This window comes from Homo sapiens, chromosome 4 (assembly GCF_000001405.40).
Source record: "Homo sapiens chromosome 4, GRCh38.p14 Primary Assembly".
Lineage (NCBI taxonomy): Eukaryota > Metazoa > Chordata > Mammalia > Primates > Hominidae > Homo > Homo sapiens.
In genome coordinates, this window is record NC_000004.12 from 182774336 (window position 1) to 182794197 (window position 19862).

Here is a 19862-nt window from a genome sequence, read left to right on the forward strand (position 1 = left end):
CCCAAATGGTCCTATATTATTTCAAAATTTTAAACTGAGGCAGTAGTCTACAATATGAGCTTTTTTGTATAAAATATAAAATGTCTTCCTTTATTGAAGTCAATTTCGGAGGGAACATTGCTTTCTATTTTTGGTATTCAAGATATAGATATTAATCCTTTCAAAGGATCTTTGACAGAAGATGCAGGGATTGGGTGCAGGGGAGGGAAGTCTTCCAAGACCTTGGAGGTGTGTACACCGCGCTCCTGAGAGATCACATATGTGCCTCTTTACAAAATATTTACTTAGTGCACATCCCATGGAAGCTGAGCTCTCATTTCATCAGGCAAATGAGAAAAAGAAGTCTATTAAACTGCAGAAGGACTTCAAATTCCCCTAAAGTTTGCCTTTAATATTTAGCCAAACCTCTGACAGCATGAAATGCCAAGGATCAAAGTTGTTTTGTTTCTTTCTAAAAGGACATCATCAGGTACTCCTTATTCCTAGTCAACTTTTAGAAATTTAGAACCTATCTCACGGCACAACCGGCCAAGTATTTAATCCATATCTAATAGTTCATGTTTTGTGCTTCTTGTTCTTTAGATCAGTTAAGAAACAGCTACCAGATTGGTTATGACGGCTCCCTCAGAATTATCTACGCCAGTGGCCTGGACTCACACTACCAAACAGAGCCGCACGTTCTGGCTGGCACCGCTAATCCGACGGTTGCCAAAAGAAACATGACTTTGCCTGGCGAGAACGGTCAAAACTTGGTGGAATGGAGATTCCGAAAAGAGCAAGCCCAAGGGAAAGTCAATGTCTTTGGCCGCAAGCTCAGGGTACGTACGTGTTGTGGAGCAGGAGATAGCTGCAGCCCTCTGATCTGTGCAGATCATCCTGAGGGCAGGTTGCGTCTCCTGCTCACCCCCCTATGTCTACACTGAGTATGAGCACCTCGCTCAGTGTGGTTCCAATCCCACATGGGCCTGTTCTGGCAGGTGCAGCTGGGGAGGCTGGAGGGAGGTCAGGTCGTGAGAGGGCTGAGAAGAAAAAGCAATAGGACACTAGAGGGAAAAGGAGATCAGGAGTGAAGGTAAAGCCATGACCATGAAAACCAGCTCCAGACATCTTCCAGGTCACTTTCACAGAGCTATGGTCCATTCCCAAAGCGGACTCCAGCTGCTGCTCTTTGTTCTGCTGAGCCCCAGACACTGCCGCCACCTGCATCCCCGTTTGCTGCCTCTACTCACTGCTGCTTCCCAGGGCCCCTGCTGCCTTGGGCCACTGCAAACGCAAGGCTAGTTCACAGGCCTCCTCTTGCTCAGCTGTCCTGAAGCAGGGGTCACATGCACGTGTGCACACAGCGTCACACCTGTTCTCAGATGCAGGACTTCATCAAAAGACACAAAGACATGGATGACAGCTGTGCCCCTCTCTCTGCATACCAAAGACACAGCACCTAACTAGGGTTCAAAAAATTATGGGTTCCAGATGAGGCTCTACTTTTTGCTAATAGTAAACCTTATGGGAGAATCAGAACATCTCTGAATCTGTTTCCTTATCTATATCATGGTATCCATATTATGATATAGATTACACATTATCTAAATACCATAACAAGATAGATAGGAGATATGTAGATGATAGATAGATAGATAGATAGATTATATATATATAGATAGATAGGAGATATATATAGATAGGAGATATATATATAGCTATATTGCAGATAAATGAAATTTACCCTATACTACCTCTGTTTTACACAGTTGTTACAAGAATCAAATGAGATAATGTGAAAGTACTTTGAAAATAGGCTGGGCGTTGGTGGTTCACGCCTGTAATCCCAACACTTTGGGAGGCCAAGGTAGGCGGACCACTTGAGGTCAGGAGTTCGAGACCAGCCTAGGCAACATGGTGAAACCCATCTCTACTAAAAATACAAAAATCAGCCAGGCGTGGAGGTGGGTCCCTGTAATCCCAGCTTCTCAGGAGGCTAAGGCAGGAGGATTGCTTGAACACTCGAGGCGGAGGTTGCAGTGAGTCGAGATCGCGCCACTACACTCCAGCCTAGGAGACAAAGCAAGATTCTGTCTCGAAACAAGAAAAGAAAAGGCATGGTTATATATTCCCTGACCCTAACGCAGATAGCCTCTTCTACTCACACACCAGATGGATAGGAAAGGGCTGTTGAGCTTGCTGGATAGTAAAATTTCACTGGAAAGAGGGAGGAGGGGGAAATACTTTGTCCAGAAACTGACCACATAACCATAACATATTGCCTGCTGTTCTTGGAGACAAGTTATAAGTAAGTGTGCACTTTTTTTTTCTTTGTAATACTGCTTTGCAAGACATAAAAGGAACTTAGGCAGATGAGAGGGAAAGAGAGGAAACCCAGTCTGAAGTCCCTGGTTCTCTGCCTAATCCTAAATGAAGAAAATACCTCACTTGAGGAAGGAAGAGGCCAGTGCACACAGGCATGGGTGTTACTTTCTTTCTAAATGGCAGAGCCACAATGCCTCAGCAAGACGTTTTAGAAAATACGCTATTTAAAATGGCCTGTGCCATCCCACTGAAAGGAGATTTCCAGCTGATATGTTTGATTGCTCTCGGAGAGACAATGCCAAGATCACAAGGGAGGGCTTCTTACTTTCAAGATAAGATTGGATGTGCCAGCTCTGACTGCTAATTTCATTCCTCTGTGGATTCTAAGGGAGAAATTCTAGGGAGAAAGTGATGATATGAAAATCTGGTTTAAGGACTGAGCCTGGAGTCTGCCAAAATAGAGAAGAGGGGAGAGAAGGGGAAGACCTGAGCCCACCAAGACAGTGAGAATCAGCCCAAAGAGCCACCCATTTCTCTTCCACTCTTTCCTGAGACAGAGGATGCCACCTCTCTTACCTTGCATTATTTCCTAGCAGAATGTCCTGTTCATTTTTAAGTTGTTGACCTAAATTTAGCTATGTGCCTGTCACATGGTGGACACTCAAATATTTATCCAATAAATGAAAGAATGAGGAAAGCCAGCCTCACAATATGAATTCTCTCTGTGCCATTGCACCTAGATCTTCCCAAGAGAGGGGCTATGTGAACACATCCTTGCAAATGTTTGACTGCTATAAATCTAACACTAGAAATAATAGGTTAAATGGAGATAATAGAGATATCATTCTCTCTGTCTATACATAATGTGTTTATGTGTGTGTGTGTGTGTGTGTGTGTGTGTGTATTTCTTTTTTTTTTTTTTTTTTTTTTTTTTTTGAGATGGAGTTTCACTCTGTTGCCCAGGCTGGAGTGCAGTGGTGTGATCTTGGCTCACTGCAACCTCCACCTCCCGGGTTCAATCAACTCTCATACCTCAGCCCACCAAGTAGCTAGGACTACAGACACACGCCACCATGCCCGGCTAATTTTTGTATTTTTAGTAGAGACGGAGTTTTACCATGTTGGCCAGGCTGGTCTTGAACTCGGGACCTCAAGTCATCTGCCCGCCTCGGCCTCCCAAAGTGCTAGGAATACAGCATATATATATATATGCTGTTATATATATATATATATATGTTTAAAAAGTAAAAAAGGCAGGGAGTAGAAATGGAAAAATCATATAAGAAAACAGCAATGTAAAAAGCATTTCTGTGAAACAGTACATTAGGGGACAGGCTGGACACAGCAGAAAATAACAAGCACAGGAAACTGTGATAGAGATGTAAGGACGCAGAATAAAGACAACCATTCTGTACTTACTTGTTTGCAGCTCATTTTTTTAAAAAGACACATAGATAGCAGTTGCTTACCTGTGCTTTATAATATTTACTAAATATTCCTAGGTTTTATCAGGGCTGGATTGTAGAACCTGCCTTCAGTCAATTACAAAAAATTGTCATGGTGTTCTAATAATAAAATTCATCCCCTAAAGCTGCCCAGATTCAGAGGCTTAGAGAAAAAAAAATCGTAGTGAATCATTTTAAAAAAGAAAATCTCAAAATTTGAAAGCCAAACGTGTGTTTAAAGGCATGCATAAATATGATAGTGTATTTAAATCTCATTATGCCAGTCACATTTGCGTAGTGGCCTATTTCTCACTTTAATCTGAGCGGCACGGCCTAGCGTGGGACGGCACAATGCACTTGGCACCTGCTGATGGAGCAGGCACACAAAACAACCTGTAGCAAGTTGATGCTCTACCAGGGACAAAAGAGAGTCTTGATATCGCCACCCAGTGTACTGGGGAATGAGCCTGCCCTTCCTTACTTCCCCCCATGACATCTTGGCTAAGTGAGTGTAATTCCATCTGCTGGTATCACTCCCTGGGAAAATTGTGTAGCGTCATATTCTTTTCAAGCATATTCCAGAGGGAAGATTATAGCTGCCTGCTCCCAACATCAAAGTGATGTTGTGATTAATTACAATCATGCTGGACATGATCTTTGAAAATGGAGATTTTTTTCCATGCTTACTTAAAGGAAGTATACATCACAAAGGAATTCATGGTGATCTCATTCATACACAACAAATGGATTCATTTTCATATAGCTGGAGGTGTAGCAGCGATCTGAGATAAGGTTTCACTTTTAGATTGTTATTTAAGTGTGTGTGTGTATGTGTGTGTGTGTATAAATATATATTTTTTTCTTTTTTTTTTTAATGTCTTGAAGAATTGTTAGTACTTTTAGTTTTATTTTAGAGACAGATTTTGTTACTGGTTTTACTAAGAACAATGTGTTCTTTTTTTTTTTCCTTTTCTTTTTTTTTTTTATTATACTTTAAGTTTTAGGGTACATGTGCACATTGTGTAGGTTAGTTACATATGTATACATGTGCCATGCTGGTACACTGCACCCACTAACTCGTCATCTAGCATTAGGTGTATCTCCCAATGCTATCCCTCCCCGCTCCCCCCACCCCACAACAGTCCCCAGAGTGTGATATTCCCCTTCCTGTGTCCATGTGATCTCATTGTTCAATTCCCACCTATGAGTGAGAATATACGGTGTTTGGTTTTTTTGTACTTGCGATAGTTTACTGAGAATGATGTTTTCCAATTTCATCCATGTCCCTACAAAGGACATGAACTCATCATTTTTTATGGCTGCATAGTATTCCATGGTGTATATGTGCCACATTTTCTTAATCCAGTCTATCGTTGTTGGACATTTGGGTTGGTTCCAAGTCTTTGCTATTGTGAATAGTGCTGCAATAAACATACGTGTGCATGTGTCTTTATAGCAGCATGATTTATAGTCCTTTACCCAGTAATGGGGTAATGGGATGGCTGGGTCAAATGGTATTTCCAGTTCTAGAACCCTGAGGAATCGCCACACTGACTTCCACAATGGTTGAACTAGTTTACAGTCCCACCAACAGTGTAAAAGTGTTCCTATTTCTCCACATCCTCTCCAGCACCTGTTGTTTCCTGACTTTTTAATGATTGCCATTCTAACTAGTGTGAGATGGTATCTCATTGTGGTTTTGATGTGCATTTCTCTGATGTCCAGTGATGATGAGCATTTTTTCATGTGTTTTTTGGCTGCATAAATGTCTTCTTTTGGAAAGTGTCTGTTCGTGTCCTTCGCCCACTTTTTGATGGGGTTGTTTTTTTCTTGTAAATTTGTTTGAGTTCATTGTAGATTCTGGATATTAGCCCTTTGTCAGATGAGTAGGTTGCGAAAATTTTCTCCCATTTTGTAGGTTGCCTGTTCACTCTGATGGTAGTTTCTTTTGCTGTGCAGAAGCTCTTTAGTTTAATTAGATCCCATTTGTCAATTTTGGCTTTTGTTGCCATTGCTTTTGGTGTTTTAGACATGAAGTCCTTGCGCATGCCTATGTCCTGAATGGTGATGCCTAGGTTTTCTTCTAGGGCTTTTATGGTTTTAGGTCTAACGTTTAAGTCTTTAATCCATCTTGAATTGATTTTTGTATAAGGTGTAAGGAAGGGATCCAGTTTCAGCTTTCTACATATGGCTAGCCAGTTTTCCCAGCACCATTTATTAAATGGGGAATCCTTTCCCCATTGCTTGTTTTTCTCAGGTTTGTCAAAGATCAGATAGTTGTAGATATGCGGCGTTATTTCTGAGGGCTCTGTTCTGTTCCATTGATCTATATCTCTGTTTTGGTACCAGTACCATGCTGTTTTGGTTACTGTAGCCTTGTAGTATAGTTTGAAGTCAGGTAGTGTGATGCCTCCAGCTTTGTTCTTTTGGCTTAGGATTGACTTGGCGATGCGGGCTCTTTTTTGGTTCCATATGAACTTTAAAGTAGTTTTTTCCAATTCTGTGAAGAAAGGCATTGGTAGCTTGATGGGGATGGCATTGAATCTGTAAATTACCTTGGGCAGTATGGCCATTTTCACGATATTGATTCTTCCTACCCATGAGCATGGAATGTTCTTCCATTTGTTTGTATCCTCTTTTATTTCCTTGACCAGTGGTTTGTAGTTCTCCTTGAAGAAGTCCTTCACATCCCTTGTAAGTTGGATTCCTAGGTATTTTATTCTGTTTGAAGCAATTGTGAATGGGAGTTCACTCCTGATTTGGCTCTCTGTTTGTCTGTTGTTGGTGTATAAGAATGCTTGTGATTTTTGTAGATTGATTTTGTATCCTGAGACTTTGCTGAAGTTGCTTATGAGCTTAAGGAGATTTTGGGCTGAGACAATGGGGTTTTCTAGATATACAATCATGTCGTCTGCAAACAGGGACAATTTGACTTCCTCTTTTCCTAATTGAATACCCTTTATTTCCTTCTCCTGCCTAATTGCCCTGGCCAGAACTTCCAACACTATGTTGAATAGGAGTGGTGAGAGAGGGCGTCCCTGTCTTGTGCCAGTTGTCAAAGGGAATGCTTCCAGTTTTTGCCCATTCAGTATGATATTGGCTGTGGGTTTGTCATAGATAGCTCTTATTATTTTGAGATACGTCCCATCAATACCTAATTTATTGAGAGTTTTTAGCATGAAGGGTTGTTGAATTTTGTCAAAGGCTTTTTCTGCATCTATTGAGATAATCATGTGGTTTTTGTCTTTGGCTCTGTTTATATGCTGGATTACATTTATTGATTTGCATATATTGAACCAGCCTTGCATCCCAGGGATGAAGCCCACTTGATCATGGTGGATAAGCTTTTTGATGTGCTGCTGGATTCGGTTTGCCAGTATTTTATTGAGGATTTTTGCATCAATGTTCATCAAGGATATTGGTCTAAAATTCTTTTTTGTTGTGTCTCTGCCTGGCTTTGGTATCAGAATGATGCTGGCCTCATAAAATGAGTTAGGGAGGATTCCCTCTTTTTCTGTTGATTGGAATAGTTTCAGAAGGAATGGTACCAGTTCCTCCTTGTACCTCTGGTAGAATTCAGCTGTGAATCCATCTGGTCCTGGACTCTTTTTGGTTGGTAAGCTATTGATTATTGCCACAATTTCAGATCCTGTTATTGGTCTATTCAGAGATTCAACTTCTTCCTGGTTTAGTCTTGGGAGAGTGTATGTGTCGAGGAATTTATCCATTTCTTCTAGATTTTCTAGTTTATTTGTGTAGAGGTGTTTGTAGTATTCTCTGATGGTACTTTGTATTTCTGTGGGATCGGTGGTGATATCCCCTTTATCATTTTTTATTGCATCTATTAGATTCTTCTCTCTTTTTTTCTTTATTAGTCTTGCTAGCGGTCTATCAATTTTGTTGATCCTTTCAAAAAACCAGCTCCTGGATTCATTAATTTTTTGAAGGGTTTTTTGTGTCTCTATTTCCTTCAGTTCTGCTCTGATTTTAGTTATTTCTTGCCTTCTGCTAGCTTTTGAATGTGTTTGCTCTTGCTTTTCTAGTTCTTTTAATTGTGATGTTAGGGTGTCAATTTTGGATCTTTCCTGCTTTCTCTTGTGGGCATTTAGTGCTATAAATTTCCCTCTACACACTGCTTTGAATGCGTCCCAGAGATTCTGGTATGTTGTGTCTTTGTTCTCGTTGGTTTCAAAGAACATCTTTATTTCTGCCTTCATTTCGTTATGTACCCAGTAGTCATTCAGGAACAGGTTGTTCAGTTTCCATGTAGTTGAGCGGTTTTGAGTGAGATTCTTAATCCTGAGTTCTAGTTTGATTGCACTGTGGTCTGAGAGATAGTTTGTTATAATTTCTGTTCTTTTACATTTGCAGAGGAGAGCTTTACTTCCAAGTATGTGGTCAATTTTGGAATAGGTGTGGTGTGGTGCTGAAAAAAATGTATATTCTGTTGATTTGGGGTGGAGAGTTCTGTAGATGTCTATTAGGTCCACTTGGTGCAGAGCTGAGTTCAATTCCTGGGTATCCTTGTTGACTTTCTGTCTCGTTGATCTGTCTAATGTTGACAGTGGGGTGTTAAAGTCTCCCATTATTAATGTGTGGGAGTCTAAGTCTCTTTGTAGGTCACTCAGGACTTGCTTTATGAATCTTGGTGCTCCTGTATTGGGTGCATATATATTTAGGATAGTTAGCTCTTCTTGTTGAATTGATCCCTTTACCATTATGTAATGGCCTTCTTTGTCTCTTTTGATCTTTGTTGGTTTAAAGTCTGTTTTATCAGAGACTAGGATTGCAACCCCGGCCTTTTTTTGTTTTCCATTGGCTTGGTAGATCTTCCTCCATCCTTTTATTTTGAGCCTATGTGTGTCTCTGCACGTGAGATGGATTTCCTGAATACAGCACACTGATGGGTCTTGACTCTTTATCCAATTTGCCAGTCTGTGTCTTTTAATTGGAGCATTTAGTCCATTTACATTTAAAGTTAATATTGTTATGTGTGAATTTGATCCTGTCATTATGATGTTAGCTGGTTATTTTGCTCGTTAGTTGATGCAGTTTCTTCCTAGTCTTGATGGTCTTTACATTTTGGCATGACTTTGCAGCAGCTGGTACTGGTTGTTCCTTTCCATGTTTAGTGCTTCCTTCAGGAGCTCTTTTAGGGCAGGCCTGGTGGTGACAAAATCTCTCAGCATTTGCTTGTCTGCAAAGTATTTTATTTCTCCTTCGCTTATGAAGCTTAGTTTGGCTGGATATGAAATTCTGGGTTGAAAATTCTTTTCTTTAAGAATGTTGAATATTGGCCCCCACTCTCTTCTGGCTTGTAGGGTTTCTGCTGAGAGATCCGCTATTAGTCTGATGGGCTTCCCTTTGAGGGTAACTCGACCTTTCTCTCTGGCTGCCCTTAACATTTTTTCCTTCATTTCAACTTTGGTGAATCTGACAATTATGTGTCTTGGAGTTGCTCTTCTCGAGGAGTATCTTTGTGGCGTTCTCTGTATTTCCTGAATCTGAACGTTGGCCTGCCTTGCTAGATTGGGGAAGTTCTCCTGGATAATATCCTGCAGAGTGTTTTCCAACTTGGTTCCATTCTCCCCATCACTTTCAGGTACACCAATCAGACGTAGATACGGTCTTTTCACATAGTCCCATGTTTCTTGGGGGCTTTGCTCATTTCTTTGTATTCGTTTTTCTCTAAACTTCCCTTCTCGCTTCATTTCATTCATTTCATCTTCCATCGCTGATACCCTTTCTTCCAGTTGATCGCATCGGCTCCTGAGGCTTCTGCATTCTTCACGTAGTTCTCGAGCCTTGGTTTTCAGCTCCATCAGCTCCTTTCAGCACTTCTCTGTATTGGTTATTCTAGTTATACATTCTTCTAAATTTTTTTCAAAGCTTTCAACTTCTTTGCCTTTGGTTTGAATGTCCTCCCGTAGCTCAGAGTAATTTGATCGTCTGACGCCTTCTACTCTCAGCTCGTCAGTCATTCTCCATCCAGCTTTGTTCTGTTGCTGGTGAGGAACTGCATTCCTTTGGAGGAGGAGAGGCGCTCTGCTTTTTAGAGTTTCCAGTTTTTCTGTTCTGTTTTTTCCCCATCTTTGTGGTTTTATCTACTTTTGGTCTTTGATGACGGTGATGTACAGATGGGTTTTTGGTGTGGATGTCCTTTCTGTTTGTTAGTTTTCCTTCTAACAGAGAGGACCCTCAGCTGCAGGTCTGTTGGAATACCCTGCCGTGTGAGGTGTCAGTGTGCCCCTGCTGGGGGGTGCCTCCCAGTTAGGCTGCTCAGGGGTCAGGGGTCAGGGACCCACTTGAGGAGGCACTCTGCCAGTTTTCAGATCTCCAGCTGCGTGCTGGGAGAACCACTGCTCTCTTCAAAGCTGTCAGACATGGACATTTAAGTCTGCAGAGGTTACTGCTGTCTTTTTGTTTGTCTGTGCCCTGCCCCCAGAGGTGGAGCCTACAGAGGCAGGCAGGCCTCCTTGAGCTGTGGTGGGCTCCACCCAGTTCGAGCTCCCCGGCTGCTTTGTTTACCTAAGCAAGCCTGGGCAATGGCGGGCGCCCCTCCCCAAGCCTCGCTGCCGCCTTGCAGTTTGATCTCAGACTGCTGTGCTAGCAATCAGCGAGACTCCGTGGGCGTAGGACCCTCCCAGCCAGGTGCGGGATATAATCTCCTGGTGTGCCGTTTTTTAAGCCCGTCGGAAAAGCGCAGTATTCGGGTGGGAGTGACCCGATTTTCCAGGTGCTGTCCGTCACCCCTTTCTTTGACTGGGAAAGGGAACTCCCTGACCCCTTGCACTTCCCAAGTGAGGCAATGCCTCGCCCTGCTTCGGCTCGCGCACGGTGCGCGCACCCACTGACCTGCGCCCACTGTCTGGCACTCCCTAGTGGGATGAACCCGGTACCTCAGATGGAAATGCAGAAATCACCGTCTTCGGCGTCTCTCATGCTGGGAGCTGTAGACCGGAGCTGTTCCTATTCGGCCATCTTGGCTCCTCCCCCATATTTTTTTTCTTGAGACAGGGTCTTGCTGGGACGCCCAGGCTGGAGTGCAGTAGTGTGATCTTGGCTCACTGCAGCCTTGACTTCACAGGCTCAAGTGATCCTCCCACCCCAGGCTCCCAAGTAGCTGGGACTACAGGCACCTCCACACCTGGCTAATTTTTGTATTTTTCTACAGACAGGATTTCACCATGTTGCCCAGGCTGGTCTCAAACTGCTGACCTTAAGTGATCTGCCTGCCTCAGCCTCCCAAAATCTTGGAATTACAGACATGAGCCACCCCTCCCGGTCTTAACCTGATATTTTTAATAATAATTAAAAATATTTATTAAAAGGCTACCAGAAGACCAGACGCAGTGGTTTACACCTGTAGTCCCAGCACTTTGGGAGGCTGAGGCGGGTGGATCACCTAAGCCCAGGAGTTTGAGACCAGCCAGGGCAACATGGGGAGACCCTGTCTCTACTAAAAATACAAAAATTAGCCAGGCGTGGTGGCGCACGCCTCTCGTCTCAGCTACTCACGGGGCTGAGGTGGGAGGATCACTTGAGCCCAGACAGTCGAGGCTGCAGTGAGCCAAGATCACACTATTGCTCTCCAGCCTAGGTGTCCCAGCCAGACCCTGTCTCAAGATAAAAAAAAAAAAAAAAAAAAAGCCACTGAAGCCTGGAATAATGCTGGTACTTTATGACTGTAACAAAAAAAAAAAAAAGACTTGAAAAGTTGCCCTGACATCATAAAGATGTGGTGAAGCAAGACCATGTCCTGGAACGCAGGTGCCCCTTGTCTGTTCTTTTGTTCACAACACCCAAAGGAGAAGGTCCAGGCATGGTAAGGGGGTGAAAAACATGAGAGCTCTTAGTATCTTTTGAAATGTTCCGTACTGAATAACAGAGAGCGGTGTCTGGAAACAGTAAGAATGGTTAAAGCCTTGGCTTGTGTTGGGAATTTGGGAAAAAACATAGCCACATTCTAACTCATTCCTCATTACTTTGGTTTGAGGATACAAGAAAGGCACGGCATCCAGTATTTGTCTGGATAAAAGAAAAATCATACCTTCTGTCCAGATGCTGGGTCTCACTGCTTCCAGGTGCTTGTCCAAGGCACGCACAGTGATGGCATCATCTGACTTGCATCTGGGTGTTTCGGTGTCGCCTAGCCACACTCACAAACCAAAGGTGCAAATCGGAAGCCAGGGCTGGGCACGGTGGCTCACGCCTGCAATCCCAGCACTTTGGGAAGCGGAGGCGGGTGGATCACCTGAGGTCAGGAGTTCAAGACCAGCCTGGCCAACATGGTGAGACCCCCGTCTCTACTAAAAATACAAAAATTAGCAAGGTGTGGTGGCACATGATTGTAATCCCAGCTACTCAGGAGGCTGAGGCAGGAGAATTGCTTGAACCTGGAGGAGGAGGTTGCAGTGAGCCAAGATTGCACCACTGCACTCCAGCCTGGGTGACAGAGTGAGACCCCGTCTTAAAAAAAAAAAAAAAAAAGAAATCAGATGCCCGAGCAGCATGGGGTTCCATGCCTGTCTCCCTACAGCAGCACGTCATATCCACTCTGTGGTCCAGATTTCCCATACTCCAACCAGGGGAAATACCGCAGAGATGAAGGAGGGTCCAGGAAGCAGTAAAGAATTAATACAAATTAAAATGAATGCCAAGGAAAATGCAAACACATGGGCAATAATAACATGGCAGCACTGTCCCTGGAAGCTACAGTCAGTCTTCTGTAGTTCCTCCAAAGCCCGGGATAATCTAAGGAAGAAAAAAAGGGCAACCTTAAACATTCAGGGTATTTTTTCCTTTCAAAACACAATCACAGGCGCTCAAGAGCCCTAAGAAAACCATTTAAATTGTGCAAAACCTCTTCTTGAGGCATCCAAAATTAGAGTGCAGGTATAAGCTGAAGAACTTGATTCTGCCATTTATCACTTTGATACAAATATTTCTACAGACTTTAAAATATATATATGTAACTAGCCGGTAGCTTCTTTCCAAGGTACACAAAGTATTCTACAAAGCTCAACTCATAAAGTTTCACAAAATTCACATAAGGCAGGGAGCAACTGATATGCAGACAGTTCCGCATGGAAGCTCAGAAAGCCTCCAGCTGGCTGGTCAGAATCGAATAAAACTCACTGAAAGACAGAGCCTAAGGGATCTAGGCCAACCTCTTTATTTACAGATGGACAAAACAGACTCAGAGGGGTTGAAAGCCAAGGTCAGGCTGCTTCAGGTCTGGAGATCAGGCTTCGGACTCTTGGGTTCCTCCCCCAACCACCACTCCGGACTATCTGCTGTGACACGGTGTTGTGGGGTTTTTGCCCACATCAGCTGATAGAACTGAAAAGTTAAGATGTAATTTCTAGGCCAGGCTCGGTGGCTCGTGCCTGTAATCCCAGCACTTTGGGAGGCCAAGGTGGGTGGATCACCTGAGGTCAGGAGTTCGAGACCAGCCTGGCCAACATGGTGAAACCCCATCTCTACCAAAAATACAAAAATTAGCTGGGTATGGTGGCAGGCGCCTGTAATCCCAGCTACTCGGGAGGCTGAGGCAGGAGAATGGCTTGAACCCCGGGAGGCGGAGGCTGCAGTGAGCCGAGATCGCACCACTGTACTCCAGCCTGGGCGACAAGGGCAAAACTCCACCTCAAAAAAAAAAAAAAAAAAAAAAAAAAAGATGTGATTTCTCTCCAGGGCTCTGCCTCCTTATATTTTGTAAATCAGCTCTCTGGGTGCTTCCCACCCTCAACATCATTGCTTTTTAGCTTATCGAGCTGCCATTCCACGGACTTCACCATACTCCCCTTGAACAGCCAATAGGAAAAGTTTAAGCTTAAGGATTATTTTTGCATGGGACATGTTTAATGTGAATGATAGAATGCAAAAGGCAGTTTTATTCCAAATTTTACAAATATATATGATGTATGTATATACACATATATTTATATATAAACGTGAGTGGTTGTGTGTGTGTGTAAAATTGGTCAGCTGGATCTGTCCACTTTGAAGGTTCTAGCTAGAATATGGTTATGTAAAATTAAGATGTTCCCATTTAATTTTTAACAATCAAAACAGTTAATGAGCATTTTGGAATGTACAAGCCACCCCTCCCACAAAGGTGCTGTAGAAGACCAGAGAATGAATAGGCCATGGTCTCTGCCCTTCAGAGGTTCACAGCCTGCAAACACTGGAGACTATTGGTAAAGCAGAATTTAATCGGGACCACATTTCTATTGCAATAATGAAGGCTGGGTTGTGTATGCCTCGGATGGCAGACGGTAACAGCCAGATTTAGTCCAAGGCTCTGGACGTGGCACCTAGCCACAGAGACTCTATGACAACACATGGTGCTGAATTTGTCAGATAAGTACAATATTCGGATCATGTGTATGTGTTAGTAAAGGACTCTGAAGTCCCTGCCAGTTAACCAGATCTTCTCCAAAGAAAGACGCCTTCTCAAAAAACTGTGACGTTGCAGCACTGGGCCAAAAGCAATGATCTTGTTTATAACCTGCTGCTATTGAAACTCATTAATAATTTACAGTAATGTGGGTTCCAACTTCTACTTAACTGCTCTTCAAAGGGCCAGAGTCACATTAACCGCTGTGTTTTATTTAATGTAGCCATGATTAATTTACTAAGCAATTATTTTCCAGTGTCTTTTGGGGGAGGAGCTTGGAGTCATATGAACAGGTGTCATGTTTATCACCTTTAGAGCTCCTGAACAAACTTTAAGACACATACATTTTGGTATTTTTCTTATCAGTTGCTTTAGTTTACAAAATTTAATTGAAATGGTTTTGAACAAATGCCAGGCTGTCTTTCTGCTTAATAAAACATTTTAAAAGAGCAGTTAATCTACTGCCTTGCACTTGTACCCAAGAAGTTGCTAAGTTAATTTACTGACAAAGAGAATCAATCATCGTAAATGGTGTTTAAACAATACTGGGGACTCCGGTGTTGGAATAACATGATTTATTTTATCATCTTGTTGGTGTTGTAACAGGTTAATGGCAGAAACCTCCTTTCAGTTGACTTTGATCGAACAACAAAGACAGAAAAGATCTATGACGACCACCGTAAATTTCTACTGAGGATCGCCTACGACACGTCTGGGCACCCGACTCTCTGGCTGCCAAGCAGCAAGCTGATGGCCGTCAATGTCACCTATTCATCCACAGGTCAAATTGCCAGCATCCAGCGAGGCACCACTAGCGAGAAAGTAGATTATGACGGACAGGGGAGGATCGTGTCTCGGGTCTTTGCTGATGGTAAAACATGGAGTTACACATATTTAGAAAAGGTATGCCTGCAAACTAAGCTCAACAATAGGGAAAGGATAATTCACATTTTTCAGCAATCATCCAGAGCACTAAGGGGAAAAAAAACAGTGGCACATGACTGAGTTCCATTTGTTATTCGAAGTATCAATACGGAAGTCACATTGGCACAGCAGTGATGAATTTCTGCATTAGCAAAGTAGTTTCTCCTTAGTTAAGTTCTACTGTCTGAGACCCTTTTAAGTGATTTATGATGTAAACAAATAAGCATTAACGTTGTCCACCTGCCAAGCTTACACATTGACAACATTCACAAATTAGACCTTGAGCGTGTAAGTCGCTTGTAAATAATTTTCGTGCTAGCTCTTCCATTTAAGAGAGAGCCTTACATTAGCACAGTTAAAGCTGTCAGCTTTGTGTTATTCCTGGCAGAGCTTCAACATAATCATAAAAAGCATGTAGATCCTAGTTACGCATTATTAACCAAAAGAGGCGATTTTCTTAGAAAGCCACACTTTCGGGTACTCTGTGGCATCTTTCCTTTCTTCTACATATAAAAGGTAAGCCTCCTAGATTAGGCTGTTTTCCATTCTTGAGAACTATGCATAGTATCAAAAATGGAGACTTAGAATTACACGTGTGCAAAATGCTAAGTTGTATGCTGTGCGGCTTGGGGTATTGACTGGGGTCAGAGGAAATGAAAGTAAAAGAAAGGGAAGAAAAAGGAAAGAACAATCTCCATGTAATTCCTTTCTTAAGAAATATCCACCGAAAAGCATATTCATGGAATGTTTCATTTGCCTTTGAGACAAAAGTTCGCCCTAGAAAATGATTCTGTTTTGAGTTCCGGTAGCTCTCAGACCCCAGAGCATGGCACCACCAGTTACCCAGCAGCGCGTGCTACACACTACTCGGCAGTTACTGTTCCACCCCTCCTGACTGAAACGTTGCACAGAGGAACTCTTGTCACCCAAAGAAATCACATCACATCCATGTTGTCACTGTGCTCCCCTCACACAATCTTGTTCTTTACCAGAGGTGCCCTGGGGAATGGCTCAGTCTAAACCTAACCCCCTGAACCCTGAGCCATCCCAACTAATTCCAGCCGGCGCCTGCACAGGCTACTCTTCCTGAGAACCAGTTTCAGTTCCAAAGCTCACTGTAGGATGCTACCTCTCTTACGGCAGCCCCCCACCTCTGGGATGCGTCCAGCTAGGACCCTCATGGCCAATCCGTCCTCTTGCAAACTCACCTGTCCGCTCTCATCAGAAGAGACTCACCCTTGAGACAATGAACCACACCTGTTAGATGACAAGCCCCTAACGCAATGTTTCTAAGTGGGAGAGGATCATGGCTTCGTTCTGGAGCAGTTTTCCCAATTTAAATTCAGTGCATTACAGAGAAGAATAACAGAAACATACAAGCACAACCCTTAAAATGTATAGTAGTGATCATAATGGCACTGGGAAATGTTTAGAGGGAGCCCAGGAGCATATCATTGAGAAGAGCCGCTGTCACAGAATGACAAAGGCAGTGACCAGGATCACCTGCATGCATCCAGGAGGATCAGAAAAGACAACAGACAGATCTTTCTCATCGTCTCTCCCAAAACCCATCAAATCCACCCAGACTATTTCGATGTTCTTACTGGGATAGGTGCACTAAGCCAAAACTTACTCATAGCAAAACAAGTAATATTTTACAGACCACCATCAAATATGACTTCAGATGATTCCAAAAGTAGGTATTCATGTGAATTCGGCAAAGTCCAAGCTTTCCTTGGAACAATGCAAACTATTAGGAACAATTCTCAGGACATTTACTACACAACCTGCATGCAAAAATTGCCCCTGGGTCTGCCCAAAGAGGAGATTCTACAGAAGCTGAAGTCAGGCAAAGGAGAAGTCCCAGCAGGGCTCCCAAGCTCCACATCCTCCCTGTGCCAATGATGTTCCATTTGGCCCAGCGGGTTAGAGGAAGCTTCCTCAGAGGGAAGAGTCACCCACAGCCCTGTGTTACTGCTGAGCTTGACTTAACCAGCCTGGGATGACCTTCTCTCACATTTGTTGGCCTAGTAACTGTCATTTGTCTTTCGGCAGTGGCTCATGAAATAGAGTTCACTTTTAATACATTTACTCATTTCATAATTTAGCACCAAAGCAGTATGTAGTCCAGAAACCATCCTTATTGCTCCTGAGATACAAATCGGATTTGGTATCCACAGAAAGAAAAGGAGATTTTATTGTCAGTACGGATGCCTTGTAACAATTTGCCTGTATGTGTATATATAATATTTCTATTAAGGGCATTTATAGCTCTCATTCACCATGTGATTAATTTCACAATATTTTTTGGTGTCGATGCTTTGTATACACTTTATCCATTTTTGGCTAATTTTATGTCTTTATACAATAATATTGTGACTGCTTTGCCCCTCCCCCAAGTACACTAGAAATTAAACATGATTTGAGTGGTTCTTCACTCAGATGAGGGGGGGAAAGCCACCTTACTAAATAATTGCTAATTATGGATAGAACTGCATTCCCCATATGCTCTTTTCTCCTCAAAATATTGTCTGTAAAGCAGCTTTGATCATGCCTGTATTATGACTAATCCAGATCCATTGACAAATCTGCTGGTTGGCTATGAATGTCTGGGAAAATAATGGTACTGTCGTGACAGGCAGCACATTGTGAATCTCGAGCCACTAATTGCAGAACCCCTCACAATTAAGCATCCAAGCAAATTAGGCAGAGAAACGTTAACAACACGCAAGGTCAAGGATAACTCAATTAAAATGAAAATCATTTTCTCTAGTGGAATGTTTCTGTGCATCTGTGGTCACTAAATCTGCTTTTGCATCTCCCGTTCACAAACACTGAGTAACAGTATGTTCTCTCTTTACAGTCCATGGTTCTTCTGCTTCATAGCCAGCGGCAGTACATCTTCGAATACGATATGTGGGACCGCCTGTCTGCCATCACCATGCCCAGTGTGGCTCGCCACACCATGCAGACCATCCGATCCATTGGCTACTACCGCAACATATACAACCCCCCGGAAAGCAACGCCTCCATCATCACGGACTACAACGAGGAAGGGCTGCTTCTACAAACAGCTTTCTTGGGTACAAGTCGGAGGGTCTTATTCAAATACAGAAGGCAGACTAGGCTCTCAGAAATTTTATATGATAGCACAAGAGTCAGTTTTACCTATGATGAAACAGCAGGAGTCCTAAAGACAGTAAACCTCCAGAGTGATGGTTTTATTTGCACCATTAGATACAGGCAAATTGGTCCCCTGATTGACAGGCAGATTTTCCGCTTTAGTGAAGATGGGATGGTAAATGCAAGATTTGACTATAGCTATGACAACAGCTTTCGAGTGACCAGCATGCAGGGTGTGATCAATGAAACGCCACTGCCTATTGATCTGTATCAGTTTGATGACATTTCTGGCAAAGTTGAGCAGTTTGGAAAGTTTGGAGTTATATATTATGATATTAACCAGATCATTTCTACAGCTGTAATGACCTATACGAAGCACTTTGATGCTCATGGCCGTATCAAGGAGATTCAATATGAGATATTCAGGTCGCTCATGTACTGGATTACAATTCAGTATGATAACATGGGTCGGGTAACCAAGAGAGAGATTAAAATAGGGCCCTTTGCCAACACCACCAAATATGCTTATGAATATGATGTTGATGGACAGCTCCAAACAGTTTACCTCAATGAAAAGATAATGTGGCGGTACAACTACGATCTGAATGGAAACCTCCATTTACTGAACCCAAGTAACAGTGCGCGTCTGACACCCCTTCGCTATGACCTGCGAGACAGAATCACTCGACTGGGTGATGTTCAATATCGGTTGGATGAAGATGGTTTCCTACGTCAAAGGGGCACGGAAATCTTTGAATATAGCTCCAAGGGGCTTCTAACTCGAGTTTACAGTAAAGGCAGTGGCTGGACAGTGATCTACCGTTATGACGGCCTGGGAAGGCGTGTTTCTAGCAAAACCAGTCTAGGACAGCACCTGCAGTTTTTTTATGCTGACTTAACTTATCCCACTAGGATTACTCATGTCTACAACCATTCGAGTTCAGAAATTACCTCCCTGTATTATGATCTCCAAGGACATCTTTTTGCCATGGAAATCAGCAGTGGGGATGAATTCTATATTGCATCGGATAACACAGGGACACCACTGGCTGTGTTCAGTAGCAATGGGCTTATGCTGAAACAGATTCAGTACACTGCATATGGGGAAATCTATTTTGACTCTAATATTGACTTTCAACTGGTAATTGGATTTCATGGTGGCCTGTATGACCCACTCACCAAATTAATCCACTTTGGAGAAAGAGATTATGACATTTTGGCAGGACGGTGGACAACACCTGACATAGAAATCTGGAAAAGAATTGGGAAGGACCCAGCTCCTTTTAACTTGTACATGTTTAGGAATAACAACCCTGCAAGCAAAATCCATGACGTGAAAGATTACATCACAGGTAAGCATTTTGATTCCTTCCCAAGAGCTGGAGGACTACCATCATTAGATTAATACACAAAATAACTGGAAATGCTTTTTTAAAAAACTTTATACTTTACTCAGGCAAAGGCAAATGGCTAACCTTTTAAATGTGTTTATTTCTTTATGGAACCATAGAGAAATCACAAAGGGAAAATGAGACATATTTACTTCCTATTCTGCCTGCCATTGCCCAAGGCCACAAGTTTTTGAAATGACATGTACTCAGTCATTTAAAGAAGGGGAACATGGGGGACCAAAAAACATGATGAACACAGAGTCCCAAAATTGG

General features: G+C 42.8%; 1 protein-coding gene across 31 annotated transcripts in view, besides 1 other annotated feature; it reads left to right on the forward strand.

Moving 5' to 3' along the window:
* Positions 1 to 19862, forward strand: part of TENM3 (teneurin transmembrane protein 3) — a 1355412-nt gene that overhangs the window by 1326723 nt on the left and 8827 nt on the right. For all 31 annotated transcript variants that reach the window (XM_017008385.2, XM_017008389.2, XM_017008390.2 and 28 more), the window contains 3 exons: positions 583 to 818; positions 14758 to 15054; positions 17939 to 19550. In XM_017008385.2, the coding sequence (XP_016863874.1) occupies positions 583 to 818; positions 14758 to 15054; positions 17939 to 19550 (2145 nt within the window). The remainder of the gene's footprint in view (positions 1 to 582; positions 819 to 14757; positions 15055 to 17938; positions 19551 to 19862) is intronic.
* Positions 10057 to 10558: an enhancer, noted in NCBI's record as "H3K27ac hESC enhancer chr4:183705545-183706046 (GRCh37/hg19 assembly coordinates)". NCBI's record gives its function as "activates a minimal SCP1, AML or CMV promoter by ChIP-STARR-seq in primed H9 embryonic stem cells {active_cell/tissue: H9 hESC(primed)}" and the evidence as "EXISTENCE:reporter gene assay evidence [ECO:0000049][PMID:30033119]".